Consider the following 19935-nt stretch of genomic DNA (forward strand, 5'->3'; position numbering starts at 1 on the left):
TTTATTCAAGTGTGTCCTAGAATGTCCACCAGTACCCAGAGACTTACTTGTTAAGCCTGTGGCCCCCTGGATCTCTTTGCAAGCAAAATCTGTTGTAAACTCGCCCTCTAAGAGATTCTGATGCATGTTCAAGTTTGAGAATCATCATTCTAGTTCCATCTAATGATGGAAACTCCTCTGTAATATCCGCAATATTTACTGTCCAGCTTTGCTACTTACCACCATCACCAGAGAGCTCATTCCCCACCAAGACAACCCATTCCAAACAGACAGCTTTGCCTGTGGTTAAGTTCTTCCATGTCCTGAGCTGAAATGTGGCTAACTACAGCTTGCTGAGATTAGCCCAGCTCCGAGCTCTAGCTCCTGCAGGCCAAGGCCACTGCTTCTGCCCTGTGAAGGTCCCTCAGAGACAGGAAGACCCGGGCTACTCTTTTCCAGCTGTGCCCCTGGGGCAGAATTTCCTGTCCTTTCCCATCCTGGTCGCTTCTGCTGCCCGTTCCCCAGGCAGTCACCATCTCTCACACAGCGGGAGTCAGCAACTAAACAGGGTCCCGTGGGGTCTGTCCAGCTTGGCCATCAGTCCTTCTGGCTGGACACAACTCCATCATTAACACAGACACTCCTGAGCTTCGGTTGAACTCCTTTTTGGGGTCTGCGGACCTCCTGAGTCCCCCCCTCTCCCAGCCCCTCCCAAGTCCCAAGAGACAGGGTCTTATTGACATGCAAGTGTCATCAGGTATAGTAACACTCATCTCTTGAGCACCCTAAAAGGTGCATGGGGCCGAGAGCTTTTCTGTGGTGGGAAAGGATGGGGGTCTTGCTTTGTTGTCCAGGCTGGAGTGCAGTGGCACATTCATAACTCACTGTAACCTCTAACTCCTGGGCTTAAGTGATCCTCCTGCCTCAGCCTCCTGAGTAGTTTAGGATTACAGGTGTGAGCCACCATGCCCAGCTAATTAATTTTTTTTTTTTGTAGAGACCTCGTCTCACTATGTTGCCCAGGCTGGTATTGAACTCCTAGGCTCAAGTGATCCTCCTGCCTTGGCCTCCCAAAGTGCTAGGATTACAGGCGTGAGCCACTGTGTACAGTTGGGTCCAAGAATTTTAAGAAGCAAAAGCCCACTGGCTTTGGCCACACTTGGAAGGTTTGGAAATGGAACATTCAAAGGTCACTGTCAGCTCTTTGTGGTCACGGTTCTGGGGGGCAAATCCTCTCATGTTGGACACTCATTCTGGCAGCTTTTTGACAACCTCTTTCCACAGGGTGGAGAATTTTCTCAAAATTAAATCTCTGGCTCTTTGCTCCCTAATGAAATTGATTTCTGCCTTGACAGACAACAAAGCTTTCATTTTATTATTTGGCTTGGGTTTGACCACATTAATTATTGCTGTTTTTTGTTCCCCCTGCACGTCTGCAAGTAATTGAGTTCCACAAAGTTACTTACTATAGGAACTGATTGCTTCCTGAAAACACAGATCCCACAGAAGTAAAACAGGCAACCCTAGCTTCTTCAGAGATGACATTTTGGTTAGGGTTGGAACAATTCAGAACAGGAAAATGTATTTTCCTAGCCTGAAAATCTGAACTCAACATGGAGTTATGCGAATATTTGGAGACTGTGAGTCTGAAATGTGGGTGTCCGGGTCACACCATCTCCTGCGTTTGTTGCCTCAGTCATCTTACCATCGATGTGTCAGAATCCTACACTGCCTCGAGTTTCTAATCACTGTTACTGGCATCATTCTTCCTGCCTCTGAGAACACTCTGCAGACGCCTGTTCAAGCTATACCAGGAGCTAAGAAAAGCCTGCCCGGCACCGTGCAAATGCATTTCTCCCTGCGAGGTTGTGTTCGGCCTCGGTGGGGCATACGCCTTTAGTGCCAGGAGGAAATGACGGGCACACGGCTTGCTCTCTGGCAGACTGGGAAGTGGTGGGGAGTTGTTGAAGGGATGGAGGGCTGGGATGTAGAGCACTGCTATGGCCACAGGTGAGCCCCTCATCTCTCTGAGCCCGTCTCCTTCAGCGTAAAGTGAGTTGCTGTGGGGAGTCAGAGAGAGCTGACTAGGGCTTCAGAGTGTACAAAATCGTGGTCCTGGACCACGATTGCATTTATGCCTCACAACGATCCTGAGATGTAGGAACTATTACTCTCCCCATTGTACAGATGCAGAAATGGAGGCCATACAGCTAGTAAGACGCAGAATCGAGATCTGAACCAGGGAGGGATTCTGGCTCCAGGTGGTCTACCTTCTTAGCCACGATACTCTATGCTTTTTCTCTACTGAGCCAATTAAAGTACCCCCAAATAACTGAGGCACAGAGAAGTTACAAAGAAAATCTCAAGACAGAGCCGGAACCAGAAATGCGTTTCCTAACTCCATAGCCAATGAGCTTCCTGCTCTGCCTCATTAAAGAAAAAAAAAATCTCTATTATAGGCCGGGCGACTTTAGGAGGCCAAGGCAGGCAGATCACCTGACGTCAGGAGTTCGAGACCAGCCTGACCAACATGGTGAAACCCCGTCTCTACTAAAAAAAAAAAAAAAAAATACAACAATTAGCCGGGCGTGGTGATGCACACCTGTAATCCCAGCTACTCTGGAGGCCGAGGCAGGAGAATTGCTTGAACTTGGGAGGCAGAGGTTGCAGTGAGCCGAGATAGCGCCATTGCACTCCAGCCTGGGCGACAGAGCGGGACTCTGTCTCAAAAAACAAAACAAAACCAAACAAAACACCATTATAAAAGAGATTCACTGTGGAAAATCCAGAAAACACAAATCTAAAATAAAAAGAAGATAAAAACCTGCCATTTCATCACCACAGACAGTGGTTAATCACAATTTGGCATAGTGCCTTCCTATATTTTTCCCACACACATGCGTACATGCATGTGATATACGGCTACCGACTGGGCTGACCTTTGCAATCTGATTTTATTACAATCATGGCTCATTTTGCATGTTGTGATTACTTTTCTCCCAAATATAATCTCCAAACGTTTCCTGAGTACCTATCATGTGCCAGGCCCTCTGGGGTGTTGAGACCAAAAGACACATTCCCAAAGAACGCTCAGCCAAGAAAGGTTCCTAGCAGATGACAAATCATTTCACACTACAACCCTGAGGGTCAAAATCAGATGTTAGATGGCAAATTTAGAAAGCAAGGTCCCAGGGTTTATGTACCTAGATTTTTTTCCTGGGGGGTTTCTAGTAAAAACTGGAAAATCTGCTAGACAAATTCTAGAAGAGCTGTAACATTTTATGCACCTCAAACTGGAAACAAAAACTGGGTGACATTTTACAAAACAGAGAGAGGCTCTGTCACTTCCAAGGGAAAACTGAACAGCCAGCTACCCTAGCCAAGTTGGGACCTTAGGGAGGAAGGACACTGCATACGGCCTTTCCTCTAATCTCCAACTTAAATGTCCTTGTTGCTTAAATGTCCTGTTGCTTCCCCATAACTTCCCCAGTTTTCTCCTCTCAAACATCTTAACATCTGAAGTCCTCCTCAACTGGCCCCTCCTCCAGGAAGACTTCCAAGATGCCCCTAGTCAGACTTACTTTCTTTCTCCCTCGCTTTGTCTTCTGCCACACCTCTGTACATCACAGTACTTCCCTACTGTCCTGTCTCCTTGTCTGGACTGTGAGCTCAGAGGCTGACATGTCTTTGTCTCCTCACCCAGCTGACAGCCCAGGGCACGATAAGAGCTCAGTGGTGAAAGCCATGCTGCTGACTTGTCTATAAGCTCCGCCCTGAAAGCCTGTGCTTAAAACGTGGCAGGGTGATCTCCAAGCTGCCTGAGGCCATAAGCAGAGTGTGGATTTTCCAAAAGAAATGGCAAAAATAAAATTAAAATTAAAAAATGGTTTTAATTAAAGCATTTGGAATAAGCTAGCTTTGCCAAACCCAATTGTTTCTGATATTCCTCTTGGGTGAAATAATCTTTAAAAAGATAAGAAAAAAAAAAAAAGCAAAGCATTATTAAAAGTGGCAAACACTCGTGCTGGAAGGAGGATGGAGGCTGCTCACAGGGGAGCTTCCTAGAGAAGAGCAGGTGAAAGACATAGACCCGCGGATGGAACAGCCTCTGCTCCAACAGAGGGCAAGGGCGCCTGCGTGCGAGTGTGCCGCATACACAACAAAACCTCATTTTATAGCCCTAGCATTTGAACTGCGGGAGCGAAGACAAGGGCTATAAAATTTGACATCTGATTTTATAAATCTGCCTCAAGGACTGACAATGTCTGTGGAGAAAATGAGAGAAGAATATACAGTGCTTACGGGGCTCCAAAGGGTGATAACCCTGGGGTGGGAGCTGGGACTTCTGGGGGCTCTACCAGCAGCCTTCCAGAGGACCTCAGGAAGGTCCTCTTGCCTTCCTGTGCCTCAGTTGACCCCACCAGGGTCTTGACCTGGATGATTCAACTCCCTTTGGGCTCTGACTCCCCAAAAGTCTGGGGAACAGTCAGGCCCTGCCTTAACACTGGGATTTTACCACGTGAAGTTAGCTGCTTCAAGCCCCACCGAATGCCTCTAGGTAAGGGCCAATCATGTTTCCTGTGGGGCCTTTGTATCGCTTACCCAGCTATCAGTAAAATAAGCCCCTACAGCACAAAGGCTCTGCAAACCACCCTACCTGCATCTGTGCAGCCTCTCAGAGTTTACAAGAGCTTCCACTGCCATTGCAAATCTGGGCCTCAGGGCTCAGAGGCTGAGACGGGAAGTGACTCACTGGTGACCTCCTGGCTGGTAGGAATGGTGGGATTCAGGCTGTAATCCCCGGGCTCCTGATCACAGCCTTCCTCTCCATGCAGCCACCCTTTCACTGATAGCAGATGTGACGTCTGCAGCTGTCCTCGTGGCCTTCCCTGCAGCACCCTCTATGCCTTCTCCCAAGTCGCCAACCAACTCATTCCCAGATGGCTTTTGCAAAAATATTGTTAAATAATTCAAATTAACAAGATGTTAGAAATGTGATTGGAAAGAAATGTTTTTCTCATTTGGAGAGACCACCCAATGCCTCAGAAGGCAACTGTCCCGGGGCACGAGAGGTTTCCTGGAGACAGACGGGCAGTTGGAATGCTTCCCTGGTGGCGGAGCCGCACAGGCAGATTTATGTGGGCTGATACGAGACAATTAAAAACCGGCTGGAAATGTAATCGCGGCTGCTCAGATGCTGGAGAAGACCAAGGAGCTCCGGTAAAACAAAGGGCACTGCTCCATCCCTGGCTCAGACGGGAGACGCAGCAGTCCAGGGAGGGAACCCCAGCCTGTTGACGGGCACGTCTGGCACTGCCGGGTTGGGGGGTGGTGCACTGGGCCGTGAACTGGCAGAGTGAGGCAGAATGAGAGCAGGCACCTCTTGCCTCTGCGTTTTAGGCAGCATTGGGAAGGGGGAAGCTGAGCTGCAGGGAGTCTGTTTTCCTGGTCTTTTCCAGGTCTACGTTGCAGCCGGGAGAGCCACTATCCACCCAGCTGCTCCGAAATCTGGATGTGGTCCTTGACTCCTCACTCCTCCTCCCTCTCATCAATTCTACCTCCACACACCTCTCCTTTCTACTCCCACTGCCCTAGTCCTTCTCTCCTGATCTATATCACACACCCAGGGCCAGATAGGGCTTCCTAAACTTCTCTCTCATCAGGTATGTAGGCCGCCTGCCACTGGCCCCTCTGAATTGGCCTTGGCCTCCTAGTTTGCTACCAGATAGTCTCAGCATCATCAGCCTAGCACCTGAGTGCAAATGGAGAACTTCTAAGCTTAGCTGGAGCAAATGGCTGAGAAGGGTCAGGAAAGAACAGTGGTCCAGGAGCTGGGCAGGCTCAGCCTCTGCCCCTCCCTGACAACACGGCCTTAAGACAGGTTAAGCCCCTTTGAGCCTCTGTTTCCTCTTCTGTAAAGTAGGAGCAATGAGTTGCGCTTTCTTCACAGCTCCTTGAGGGCTGGACCCAGAGAAGAAACTAGACTCTTCTATTTGGGTCATGGATGCTGACACTGTTGGCTCAGAACCAGCCCCTCTGGTTTCAGGTCTCTGGGCTTTCTCCATGTCACCACTGCCTGGGGAAAGGGGTCTGAGAAATGCTGGGCACAGGGCTCATGGTCACAGGTCCTGTCAGAAAATCCAGCTTTGGTCCAGAGAACTAGTTGGCCATTGGCTGGGCTTCTCAGGGCCTGCTAGGGAGGAATGGGGGTGTTTCTATTCCGAGAGACCCCACAAGGTAGAAAGAGGCCTCGAGCTGTGTTGCAATCTCATCTCTTTACTCATTAACTGTGACGTAATGTGAACACCAGTTTCTTTATCTGTAAAAATGATGGCAATGGTTGCTACTCTTCTTGAACATACTATCACAGTGTGAAAGCTGGCTATTCCCAAATATCAGGCCCTGTGCTGGGCATGCTGACCCGTATCACCTCACTCACATGTTACAGCAGCCCAGAGCAGGTGGCGGGGCAGGATTTACACTTGCTGTGCTAGAGAGTAAACAGAGGGCTCAGAGAATATGCAGAACTCAAACTAGGGTCTGTCTGAACCCTTCAGAAAGGAAGGGTGCAAATCATGGTGACTAGTTTGGGATCCCGTAACTTGTCAGAGGCAGAGCTAGGATTTGAACCCAGGTCTCCTGGGCATAGGCCCAGGGCTGTTCCTACACTCTCCACCCCCACTGCACCAGAATCACCAAAGCACCAGGCTCAGAGTCCAGAAGAGGTGCCAGTCTAATGTTGAGGGTGGCGTCCTTGGCAATGTTTTACCACCAGCAGGGCACATTTTCTCAGTAATTCTGAATAAAGGGAAATGTCATCTAATATTCCTCACAGTGTCCCCTCAATGGTGCACTCTCTTATCCTGCAAGGCATCTGCACATTCTAAAGTTCACTGTTCTCATTTAGTCCTCTGCAAAGAGTGTTTGAGGAGTCTCTGTTTTGCCTACAGCAGTGGCTTCTAATTGTGGCATTTCTTTTAAACCTTTTAGAAGGAGAAAACACGAAGCACGCTAATTGAGCAGAAAGTTCATTTTTCCTCCATGAGCCCTGAAAGGACATGAAATCCTCCATGCGATAAGAGCAAAGAGACAGACCCCCTCTTCCCCCACCACCCCTGCTGCCCTGACTCAGGCTGGCTCAAATGCTGCTAGCAAACAGCTTGCCTGCTGGGAAAGCCAGAGGCAGGCAAGCTTCTTCCTCTTTCTGGGCCTCAGTATCTCCACTTGTTCAAGATATTGGACCAGAAAATTGAAAAAGTCTCTTTCTGTTCCCTAAACCCCAAGATTTCTGCTTAGGGTATTCCTGGAGCTGCTACCTTGACTGGCTGCCAACATGCTTCCCTATGAGATGAGGAGGCCAGACCACAAGTTCGGAAGATGGGCAGGAGAGCTGGAGGGGCAGCAGCATGGTGATGAAAAAGGATACCTGTTGAGTGGTCATCATCTCCAGCTCCTGATGAGCAACTAGGAGGTCAGAGAAGTTCACTCATTCATCCAAGGTCACACCAAAGCACAACGTACAGAGTGCAAGAGAGGTGAGAGGTTCAAGACAGGTTATCCAGGAAGAGGGGAGCCTGGATTGGACTCCAGTTCTGTGAGATTCTCTAGCATTCTTTCCAGCTGTAGCCAATAAAATCTAGAACCCATCATCGTAAAGGACAGTGGATGTGGGCACAGATGGAGACTTCCAGGTTGAACCCAGACAATTTGCAATGCACTGGGACACACCGAGCTCTTTCCCCAACAACCCGTGGCTCTCTGAGGTCCATAATAAAGACATTTGAGCTACCACTGATAGAGCACTCACTATATGCTGGAGCATATGCTAAGCACTTCACATATATTGTGTCTTCATTAATACACCTGTGAAACCCATTTTATAGATGAGAAAACCAAGGCTCAGAGATGTTCAGTCCCTTTGCCCAACACTACCCTGTTAGTATGTGGCGGAGCTGGGTTTCAAGAGCCTAAGCCAAGACCCAGAGCCATTGTCTTCACCGCTGTGCAGAGCTCCCTCTGTTGGGGGAGTCATGGGGCACATGGCCAGGAGCTCAGGGCCCCTGCAACCACTGCTGAGCAGTGTGGGGGTCCTGAGGCAAGCAGTACTGTACCTGAGCTGCACACACCTGCCTTCCCTGAAGTTTGCTCTTAAAAGGCTTCATCATCCCTGCAGGGGCCTGGCTGGGGAATACAGTGACCTACTAAGTCCACTGTCAGGTATTCAGGTATGCTGGGGCTGTGTGGGGAACTCAACAATGGCCAGGGAGGTCCCACTGTGGCCTTGCAGGGACCACCCTGGTGGCTCACACATGGGAGCAAGCAACCACCACGGAGCTAGGTGTCTGGAGTCTCAGATGTTAACCCAACAAGGGGATGCTTGGACGGCAGAAGGAAGTGGAGACTTGCTCCCTGCTGATAGATGAGGGGAGAGCAGCCTTTCCTCATATCCCCACTCCCACTGGCCCCTAAACCTTTATTATTTCTTTCTCCTAGCTGTCAGCAGCAACAAACTAAGATTAATCACTTGCCTGCCTGGACCCAGACATGCCTACTGTTTGAAAACTCTCTCCTTTGCTATATTAATCAATGAAGGGACAGACAAAAGAAAAACAACCCTAACTGCCACGCACCCCCAGTGCCCCTCAGCTCTTCTTGGCCCTGTTACACCCACCCAACCTCCTTCGGAGCTACAGGAGGTATTTGCCGGCTAAAGACTGAGTACCCAGCAGTCAACACAAACCCGGCTGCTCTAAGCCGGATACAAATAGACGTCATCAAGCAATCTGAAGGACAGGAGGCAAGTTCTTGATAATGTCGTGCTCCTCCTTCCCTCCTTGGAGGAGATGGGACCTTCCTGCCATCCTTGGACTGAGAGGAAAGTGGTCTAGTCATAGAACCCTTAAACTGGAAGCAAGTTTACTAATCAGACCCCAGACCCTCATTTTATCGATGCAAGTGGAGAAGATACCTGCCAGATACCTGCCCAAGTCACCTAGTGCAGCAGGGACAGCCTGGACTCACCCAGGGCTCTGTCTACTCTGCTGCTTCCGTGGTGATTTCTGAAGGCTCTGGAAAAGCTGGGAGAAGCAGAGACTGGTATATACTGAGCACCATCTATGTGTAGGGCTTATCTGCCAAGCCTTACTTCTTGCTGAGGCAAGCATCCCGTGATGCTCAGGAAGGTGCAGTACCTTGCCCAGCATCAGGTGCGGGGAAAGAGATGGAAGCAGGACTTGGATTCAGATATCTGACTGCAGAGCCTGTGTTGTCCCTCTCCATCTTGAAAAGGGCTGCCTCGGTCTCCTGGGATGCCTGCCCACGTGCTGTTCGCCTTCTGGACTCCTACATCAGGCCCCTCCCCAGCTCTCGGTCTGTGCCAGTTCACGTGGCATGTGTAGGGACATGGAGGGGAAGGGGGGGATCACTGGGGGGACAGGGAGGCAGAAGCTGGCATCCCTCCTCGCCAGTACTCATGGGCCCCCTAGTTCACTCATGGTTCTAGAATACAGCCCTGACAATAGCACTGCATCCTGTTTCAAACCTTGAGAACTCCCTGCTGCCTCACAGGTAAAGCCCCGACCCCTCCACCTGGTGATCAGGGCTACATCTCTCTTGGGCTCAGATGAATGTGTCATTTGTTGTTCTTAGGCAAGCTCCGCCCTGCCCTGTCTCTGGGCCCATTCTCTCTGCAGCCTGCCTTTTCTCCCCTGTGCATGGGTTTAAGACCTGCTCATCCTTCACATTCCCCTTCCTGATTCCTTCCCTCTTTCATAGCCTGGAAACTTTCATAGAAAGAGTACTTTCTACTTCGGGCAGCCCTGAACACATTCTCCGTGAGTTATAGGTGTAAGTGTCTTCCTTTCCTTGTGAGGCTGTGAGCTCCTGCAGGGCTACAGCTCATTCAGTAACTGACACTGGACGGGGCAGAGCTCATTGGCTGGGCTGGAGAGGCTGTGAACAACCAAGTGCCACAGCATGATGGAAACAGGCCAGACCCCAGAGGTGTCTCCTTAGGTCACGTTTGCAAGATGCCAGGCAATTTGCCTTCGGGGATTAGAAAGCCAAAGGTCCCTCCGTAAGGACTGTATGCAGCCATTAGCCCCACTGGCTTTGGGACTCTCACCACCTCAACCAAGCAGGGGCTGGGTCCTTGTCAAAGCTGCTGACTGCAGAGGCCTCAGAGGTGCCACTCGGTGCCCCTTCCCATGGGTCACACAGGATCCCTGCTCCATGAGGGCAGAGCCTGCCCAGCAGAACTGGAGGCCACAGCACTCACCCCGCCTCCCTGCTGTCTGCCCCCAGCTAGAAGTCCCCCAGTCTTTGAAGTCCTTCCCTCATCTTGTCCACATTCCTTTGCAAAAACTCACCAAACCAGAACTTGCCAAGACTCATTCGCAGGCCAAAGTGCCTGAAGAGCCTTTTAATGAGATTTTTTTCAAGGCTTTTCATCCCTTTCCTCCACTGCCAGCCTTTCCAGAGACAGGAAACTGTGTTAAGAGTTTGACATTTTCTTGCCAATTTCTCAGCTCAACCCTTTGCTCCCTGAGGCTGGAGTGAGAGTATCCAGGGGCCAGTGGTGGGTGCCAGGTCAATGAGTTGGCGGGCAGCCAAGGGAGAGAGTTCTGCAGGCAGGAGGGGATGAGGAAAGTGTTCAAGGGCAATCAGGCAGAATCGCCGAAGACGATTCACAGGTAGGGGCCCCTGCCATGGAGGGGGCTCTGAGATGTCATGAGGTGTGCAGGCGCCACTGTGGGTCACTGCAAGTGCAGAAAGTTGGGGGGTGGGATGCCGACAGGTGGCAGCTTGGGCTGATCCAGGGACCTGTCTGGTCACCACAGTGGGAAGCTGTCACCATCTCTGTGGTCAGTGGTCAGCTGCCAGCCGGGCAGCCTTACACCAACCCTAAATCCCTTCTGGGTGTCAGTTTCCCCACCCCCATGAGGCAAAGGGACTAGAGTAAATGGGTCTCAAACACTTCTAGGTCTGACGTCAGAAGACCTTTCGACTGAGTGTAAGGAATGCCGGGGAGGAGATGGGAGGACATGGCTGGGAGTCCCATGGCCTCCACTCCAGTCTTGGCTCTGCTGTGGACCCTGGCAGGCATTCGGCTTCCCCCAGCCTAAGATGAGGAAGAAAATGCCTCGCAGGACCTTGGTGAGTGCAACCTGCACGTCAGTGGCCCCATCACTGAGAACTGCATCTCAACTCTTCTGGGAGCCCCCGAGACCCGCCAAGGCTCTCCTGCACCTCCATGGCTCTGCCTGGGCTGTCCCCTCTACCTGAGCTGCCCTGCTAGCCGTCCCTGTCTGGGGAACACCTGCCTTCTCTTGAAGGTTCAGGTGCAGCCTTCTCCCTGCAGCTTCTCCTGACTCTCTGTGGCAGGGACTGCCCACCCACATGCCAGCTCTGGGCTCCCAAGACCCCCCTGTGCAGACCTGTGTACAACAAGACACAGGCTGGCCTGGCCAGGCTGAGCCCCTGGAGGCTGGGCCTGACTGTTCTCACCTCTGGACTCTCTCTGATGCCCAGCCCAGTGGCTGGTACGGAGGGCTCTGAAAAATATCTGCTGAGGGAAGGGTGCACGGGGTGTCCTCTGAGGCTGAACTCCCCCAGATCCTTTCTTCATCCTAGAACACCCTCAGGGCAGGACAAACTCACATGAAAATGGCCAGAGGCGGATAACCAGCATAGCTGGAATTCCAGTGTCAATTTGCACCAAGCTCCTGACAGTGTCAAGAATGCCATTCCCCACCCACCCCTGCCAGGCAAGCCTTGAGTATTTGAGAGATCAGGCCCCTCACTTGGTGGCTGGCAAAGATGGTGCTTGCTCCAGGCAGCCAGGATATGCAGTACCAGGACGGTTCCCCTTGCGGTTGAGGTGATTCATTCCAGGGCATTGCTCCCCAACCAGCAGCTGGACTGGCCATCGGGAGCTGGGGCTCCTCTGGGAAGCAAGTTCATCTCCCCTGAGTGGGTTGCCTGGCTCAGCCATAGGATGCCCAGCCCAGCCCACCTCCCCAATTCTGGCATTCTTCAGGGGAAAGCTGGGCAGGTGAGAACAACCCCGGCCTTTGGAGGTGGTGATCTAATGCCTCTAGATCTGCATGCAAAACTAGACCTCACCTCCAGCTCCTTTGGGCTCAGATGGGTCACCCAAATGACAGTTCCTGATAATGAGGTCCATGGGATGGGTGCGGGAAGGCAAACACAGAGTTGATGGTAGAGGCTGCTGGGCTGCCTTCCCAGTCTCCCTCGACGTCCTCCCCTCACCTGGGAGGTGCAGGTGGTCCAGCCCACAGATGGGGACATGGGGAGAGTTAGAGAACCCCTGATGTCATTGGTGGAGGTGGCCTTAGAGCCCATCAAAGCCCAACTCCCCACTGGACAGATGTAGGGGAAGAAACTTGGTCACACAGGGAGCAGCGAGTGGCAGGACAGGACTCCTATCCAGAATTCTGGACAATGGGTCCTTCCTGTGGCTCTTAAAAATGGACTTCAATCAAACTGCAGGGCTGACCCCAGGAAACAGGGGCAGGGTTATGGGAATCACACTAGATAACACTGACACAGCACTGTCTGGGCTGGGAACACTGTCTGTCAGCAGCTCATTGCCATACGCAGTGCACAGATGAGGACACTGAGGCCCCTATGGCGTGACTGGCCAAGGCCACAAGGCCAGTGAGTGCAGGAGGCCAGGCACGAGGCCCGTCCTCTACCTTCCCCACCAAACACAGCTGGGCCCTTGGGACTGCATGCCTACGCTGTGAGGGCAGAATCAACGTGTCGTCAAGGGTGGTCCTACCCTCTAGGGAATGGCACACCCCAGTGAGGAGGGGAAATGACGCTTCTGGCCCTCTGAGCCCCACTGTGAGCTGACATCTGGGCCTGCTTTTATAACTGAGGGTACAATGCACAGGGGACTGAGAAATGTATTCTGCAGGAGACAGCTGGCACTATTACTTCTGCCACTGGGTCTAGGTTCCTTGTGTGCTCCCTGGTTGGGACCTCAGCCCTGGCACATCCTGGATACTCAATAGGCTGCTGTTCCCTCGAAGGCAGGTCTGCACTGGAGTCACCACAGGGCCCCAGTGCCAGCCCGGCAGGACCTTAGTTCAAGGGCTCAGTACTTCCCCACCTCTGCCTAGAAGAACAGGAAGCTGGAGCAGCTGATGGGGCTCTGGTCCTCTAGGATGAACGGCCCGGTTTGGCATGGAGTGCTCTGTCCTGTCCTCCCTGATCCTTTCGTGGAGGCCCCTCCAGGCCAGGCCCCCAGCCACGGGGATTCCAGGAGGAATGAGGTTCACTGAGGAACTCAGAGACAGATGGGGAGGGAGACAGAGTGATAACCCCCAATGACCAGCACCCCAGAGGGTCCCTGGAGCACTGAGGAAGCCCAGTATGCAGGGAAGGCTGGTGACACTTGAGTCCTGTCGCTGATGCCACCTGCTTCCTTTACCTCTCACAGCCCAGAAGAGCACCATTCACCTTGATGGCCCCATCAGCATGCCTGGTGGTGTGCACGCCCCCCTGCTGCTGTCCTCTCCTCAGTCCAATTCCGCTCCTCTGGCTTTGGCCACCTTCTGCCCGGCCCCAGTTGCAGTTTAGCATATTGAACTTTCCTCGGCTGCCATAACTGACCCGATTCTTTCAGCCATCAGGTCTGATGGCAGACAACGAATTATGCAGGCACCAGCAGCCTAGAGAAGAGCAAGGTACCTATTTCTTGTTTGTCTTGAGTGCCCTACCCGCTAGGCTAGAAGTTCCCTCTGCATCCTCTCTGGTTTAGGCAGTGGTCCAGCCTTTGGTCTTATTCCCCTAGTGATGACAGGCTCACTACCTTGAGGCAGCTTGGGTAGCTCTAATTCTTGATCTGCTCTGGCTATTAGGAAACTTTTCCTCTTGCAGAGCTGGAATCTGTCTATGCATTGTCTGCCCACAAGTCCCCTGTCTGTACATCAGCTCCCTCTGCCCTGACAGTCCTTGAGAGATGCATGGTCCCCACCCCGTGTCCACATGCTCTCTCTTCTCTAGGTGGACTCCCACAGCCTGTGTGCCTTGCCCTACCTGCCTCTGCCCATGCCTGCCGCCCTCCTGACTCTGCAGTTTGTCACTGTCTCTCTCAGGGCAAAGCCCAGAAGTTGTGGGGGGAGGGGTCAGTCGTGAGCAGAGAACACAGGCCAGTTTCACCTTCCTTGGTTTTACTGAAGCCTCTGTCTACAGGGCCGGCATGTGTGTGAGCTCTCCTGACAACCGTGTCCCTGCAGGCCGGCTCTCCCTCCCATGGCCTCTAACAGCGGTAAGTGGGACAGAGAGGATGCCAGGCAGAGGGATTCACTGCTTCTGGGGGATCTGTGCTGGCTGAAGAGCCTGGGTTTACACCCCAGTTATGTCACCAGCTCTCTATATGTCCTTGGCAAATCCCTTCTTTTTCTGGACCTCAGTTTTTCTGTAAAATGGGTTTAGGCATTCTTTTGGGTCCCGTCCAGCAATAGCACCCAACTAAAACATGCTTTTCTTATTTCTGGGCCTGCCCATCCTGACAGAAATGCCTCACAGGTCAGAAAGACCTGAAAGTTTCCAAAGCTGCGATAGGCAGTAACACCACCTCTTCCCAGTGCTCCTCCTAGACTTTGTGCAACACCCAAACTCAGGCCCACACAAACCGCAAGCCAGAGCTAGGTCATGCTCACAGTGGCAGAGAGTCATGGGCTGGTCACAAGTCCTGGCCCAGCCACTTGGGCCAGCCACACCCACCTCCGTGAACCTGTTTACTCATCTGCAAATTGGCGACGATATGTTCCTCAAAAAAATCAAAGGACCATCGTCGTGGGCTTTGAGAGCAGGATGAGGCATGCTAGGAACTTCGTACCACCCCGGCTCACAGCAGATGTGAAAGCTTTCTTGGATAGTTAATACAAAATCCTAGAAAAAGGCCCCTCATCTTCTGGAAGGGCAGCAACAGTGAACATAAAAACTCCTCTGTATCCCAGGAGAATAGGATCAAATTGAAAAACCCAGGCCTAAAATAACGTGTGCTGGCAAGTTTCCCAGGGGACACTGGCGGGTTTTTCTGCCACAGACACGGTGGCCGGCTGCGCTCGCAGAGGCTGCCGAGGAGGGCTGGGGGTGCTCGGGGCGGCACTCACCTCAGGGAGAGGGAGTAGTCATGCTTGCTGGTCTGGCTGTTCCGGACAAGGTAGCTACACTCCTTGCAGAGTCGCAGCAGGTTCTCGGCGTCTCCTCTGCTGATGGCTCCGTGATACCATCTGTGGAGAGGGCAGAGAGTGGTCAGAGCCCAGCGCGATGGGATTCCCATGGCCCTGACCTGCCTTGGGAGACTCAGCACCCGCAGAGAGCCTCCCTGTACAAGCAGGCATGCACTGGTTCATTCCATGGGTACCCACTGCCCGCCTGCTGCTGCCGGGTCCTGGGGAGAGCACAGTGAACAAAACCCAGTCTCTTTTCACGGGAAGCTTATGCTCTGGTGCAGGGAGTCAGGCCACAGACACTCAAGTCATCACAGAGCACAGTGTGAGGACAGGCATCATGGAGATGAAGTGGCATAGGCTCATGGAGCTGGGGGCTGGTGAGGGACTATTTCAGGCAGGGTGGCCAGGGAAGCCTTCTCAAGGTGAGGTGGCTCACGCCTGTAATCCCAGCGCTTTGGGAGGCCAAGGCAGTTGGATCACCTGAGGTCAGTTCAAAACCAGCCTGGCCAACATGGCGAAACCCCATCTCTACTAAAAATACAAAAATTAGCCGGGCGTGGTGGTGGGCGCCTGTAATCCCAGCTACTCAGGAGGCTGAGACTGGAGAATCACTTGAACCTGGGAGGCGGAGGTTGCAGTGAGTTAAGATCATGCCACTGCACTCCAGCCTGGAAGACACAGCAAGACTCCATCTCAAAAAAAAAAAAAAAAAAGAAAAAGAAAAAAGAAAATGGAAAAAAAAGAAGAAAGAAAAAAAAAGTGACATTTCAGTGCAGACCTGCAGGAGGCAAGGAGGGAAGCCAGAGAGGAGCTTTCTTGGTAGACAAATCAGCAGCGAAGGCCAAGGCAGAAGGCTGCCTAGCGTATTCTGGAAACAGCTAGGGGCCAGCATGGACAGAAGCAGCAAGGGGAAGGGGTGTGCAAGACGTCCCGAAATGGGGCTGCAGCAGGGGCTTTTCTCTGTTTGAGCAACATGGAAACCATCAGAGGGTGCTGATGGGAGGGCCACGCTCTGACTCAGGGATGTGTGCAGACATGGATGGTGGGCAGGGAGGTAGCTGTCCATGCTCCTGCCAGACGGCTCTAGCACCACTTGGGCATGTGGGAATCCCAGCATTACTGCTCCCAGATGCCATGCATGCCAGAGGAGGGCAGGCGGCAGAATCTGAGGGGAGGAGTGCCGTGCAGAGGGCCCGACTCATCCCTCATCTCCCATCAGAGGAGGAAATGGGAGCAATGCTTTTCTTTCTTTTTTTTGAGACAGGGTCTCACCCCGTCACCCAGGCTGGAGTGCCGTGGCGCGATAATAGCTCACTGCTGCCTCAAACTCCAGGGCTCAAGCAATCCCCCCAACCCCCAGCCTCCAGAGTAGCTGGGACTACAGGTGCGTGCCACCATACCTGGCTATTTTAAAATCTTTTCTAGAGACAGGGTCTTAATATGTTGCCCAGGCTAATCTCGAATTCCTGAGCTCAAGTGATCCTCCCACCCCACCTCCCAAAGTGTCAGGATTACAGGCGTGAGCCATTGCATCCAGCCTGATTTTCCTTGTGTGTGTGTGTTTCCTTTTTTTTTTTTGGTTTTTAGAGACAGGTTTTCACTTTATTGCCCTGACTGAAGTGTAGTGGTGTGATCACGGCTCACTGCAGCCTTAAATTCCTGGGCTCAAGGGATCCTCCTGCCTCGGCCTCCCAAGTAGTGGGCCTATAGGCACGCACCGCCATGTCTGGCTCACTGATTTTCATGACTGGAAGAGCTGACGGTAAAACTGCAGGGAAAGAATAAAGATCCTCACTGCCCATGAGTGGACACACTCAAAATACATTCCTGTTTACATGATGGTCTCTGCGCGGTAGTGGAGGGGGTGAGACTCAGCCAGGAGAGGCAGAGGCACGGGGCGGTACTGTGGTTGGAGTGTGCTTTGTCCACAGAGACATGGATGCTGCTCCGAATGGTGGCTCTGCTGCCTGCTGGCCAGGCAAGCCACTGACCAGGCGGCTTCTATTAAGCGAGGATCATGCCAACCTCTCTTGGGTTGTGGGAATGTAACAAGTGGCCCCGCAGGAAGGGCCAATGTAGAGCCTGATGTGGGGCGAGTCTTAACCGACGGCAGCTGCAGCGTTAGCAGAAAGAGATTGCCCTCGCAGACTGTGTGGTGACATCCCCACCTACAATGGTTGCAGGCCGCTGCCCATCCAGAGGCTGCATTTTACATTACATTTCCAGGTGCAAGTGGGGATGCTGCCTCCTGGTGCCTGTCTCAGAGTGTCCTGCAAACCGTGCCTCTGAGAGTTCCGGCACTGACATTCTCCTCAGAGAAAAACCCAAACCACCCGTCCCCATGCAATTCCTGCCACTCATGAGGCAGAGCTCAACAGTTAGTAGCAGTGGCCACAGCAAAATTAAAACCCTAAGAAAAAAAATCAACTTTAAAGTCAAGGACTGGAGAGTAAATGTGAGTGTCCTTGTCCAGTGGGAATGTGGCCAAGTGGTGGACAGTCCAGGCAGTGGCCACCAAGCTGGACATCCGGAGGGGAGACTTTCCAGGGGAGAAGGCAGGAAGAGCATGCAGACCACAGACCCCTTTCTTTCTAAAGGTACAGAGAAATATGTAAAGAGGAATGTGAAGTTGGGGTATGCATGGGTTGCCACAATTAAAACACCACAAGTAAAACATTTCCTGAGACATGAAGGTCCATGTTATGCTTTAGAAAGGCTACATGGCTGTAATCAGGAGAAACAAAGACAGCATTGACTTCGGAAGTAAGAGTTAACAGGTTTGGGAAGGCTGTCCTCTGGGAGATTTCACTGTGTAACACACCCTCAGTGAGCTGACAAAAACATTTTACTAGGAAAACAAGTCCCAGCCATTTGAAGCTGAGCCGTCCTCAGGGAAAGGCCTAGAAGTGGTCTCTGGGGAAGTGCTGCCTGCCATCCACCCTCCCTGAGCTCAGGAGCAAGCTCTGCTCTGAGATGGGGGCATGGCCTCTGGATTCTTGTTAAGGGGAATCCCAGGTGGTTAACAGGATAAGCTACCAGTCCCTTCCCCAACTGCTCCACACAGAGTCAAGGGCAGGGGACAAGGGGCTGAGGAACAAAGGAGAGAAGGAGCAGAGGGTGCTGGATCTGGGGGCCGGGCCGGCACTGGCCAGCCTGTCAGCAGGAGGCTGGAGACTAGGAGTCAGGCTGGGCTGGGCGGTCCTGTGGGGGGCTACAGCCAACTGTTGGGCCCACGTAGGCCTTGCTTCACCTGGAAAGAGAATCCAGGCAGGAGGTCATCTCAGGGATGGGCTGGACCTCGTGGGGTTGGCCAGTCAGGTCAGAACCAGGGGGATTAGGGAGACTCAACTATCGTCCTTCACCCCAGCCAATACCCATGAGCTCATCCAGTATTTACTCACCACTCACTATATCCTTGATCTCACGGGGCTGATGAAGGGAGAGGAAGAGTCAACAGAGAGATACAGGAAACAATTCCAGATAGTGACAAGGGTTATGCAGGCATCCTGGGGTTATGATAAGGCAGTGACTGGGGCTGTATGAGATGCCCGCTTAGAAATGAATGGGCAGGGGAGGCCCCTGAGGAGATGACATGTGGCCTGAGAACATGAGAAGGAGCCAATCGTGAAGAGCCAAAGAAAACATCTCTGCAAAACAGGCAGCAAGTGCAAAGGTCCTGAGGTAGGAATGCGCTTGCAGTGCTCACAGAGCAGAAAGGCGGCAAGAATGACCCAGGCACTGTGAGCAGCGGGCAGGAGGTAGGCCCAGTTCTTGTGCCCAGGAGGAGAAGTTTGATTTCATCCACAGCAATAAGAGTTTTAAGAGATGTTACTTGCCCTGGGAAATCTTACAGACAGTCAGTCAGGTTGGCGTGAGGAGGGGCCAGAGGAGACAAGTCAGGATGCTAGTGAAGTAGTTCACACGGCAGGTGGCCGCAGAGATGGAGGAATAATGGATTCTGGTGGTACTTAGGAGGGAGCACTGGCAGAATTTGGTAAAGCAACAGATGCTGGTGTCCGGCAAAAAAAGGAATCAAGATGATGACGGGTTTGTGGCTTGAACCATAACTAGTTAGATGTGACACCGTTTATGGAGGTGCGGAAGCTGGGGGAGGGGCAAGTTTCGAGGAGAAGATCAGGAGCCCAGTTTTGAACACATTAAGTTTGAGATGCCCACTTGTCAGCCAAATGGAGATGCCAGGAAGCAACTGGACGTAGGAGTCAGGAGCTCTGGGAGAGGTGTGGGCTGATGCTACATGTCTGTGAGTCACCACTAGGATCCTGGGAGAGACAACCCAGGGAGAGCACGTAGTTGGAGACTGAGCCCTGGAAAGTCAGACCTTCAGGTCAAGCAGAGGCAAGGAGCCAGCAGAGGAGATGGAAGAGTGGCCAGGGAGGCAGGAGGAGCACCAGGCCCAGAGGCCCAGAAGGAGAGTGGTCAACTGTGGTGACTGCCACGGAGGACAGAGGGGGTCGTCTGGGGACCGGGGCAGAAAAAGGAGGCTGGCTGTGGTGGGTGAGAGAGAAGGGGAGGTGACAGAGAGGGGAGAAGTGCTGGCAGCTCTTTGGAGACTGTTCATTCACGCAACAGCTATTTATTCAGCACCTGTTACCTGCTGGGCACTGTTCTAGGCACAGGGGATGCAGTGGTGACCTAGACAAGTTCCTGCCCTCATGGAGTTTCTGTTCTCAGCAGGGGCAGTTGAGAGGAATGTTGAGTCAAGGTTTTTTTTTTTTACTTATGTTGG

At 52.4% G+C, this 19935-nt stretch overlaps 1 protein-coding gene and 1 pseudogene across 1 annotated transcript in view, besides 1 other annotated feature; both read right to left on the bottom strand.

Moving 5' to 3' along the window:
- Window positions 1-19935, bottom strand: part of SHB (SH2 domain containing adaptor protein B) — a 153330-nt gene that overhangs the window by 17612 nt on the left and 115783 nt on the right. Inside the window, exon 5 of the mRNA NM_003028.3 lies at window positions 15126-15245. Within this exon, the coding sequence (NP_003019.2) occupies window positions 15126-15245 (120 nt within the window). The remainder of the gene's footprint in view (window positions 1-15125; window positions 15246-19935) is intronic.
- On the bottom strand, window positions 3198-3259 carry RNU7-124P (RNA, U7 small nuclear 124 pseudogene; annotated as a pseudogene).
- Window positions 18343-18842: an enhancer, noted in NCBI's record as "H3K4me1 hESC enhancer chr9:37951849-37952348 (GRCh37/hg19 assembly coordinates)". NCBI's record gives its function as "activates a minimal SCP1, AML or CMV promoter by ChIP-STARR-seq in primed H9 embryonic stem cells {active_cell/tissue: H9 hESC(primed)}" and the evidence as "EXISTENCE:reporter gene assay evidence [ECO:0000049][PMID:30033119]".

This window comes from Homo sapiens, chromosome 9 (genome assembly GCF_000001405.40).
Source record: "Homo sapiens chromosome 9, GRCh38.p14 Primary Assembly".
NCBI classification, from domain to species: domain Eukaryota; kingdom Metazoa; phylum Chordata; class Mammalia; order Primates; family Hominidae; genus Homo; species Homo sapiens.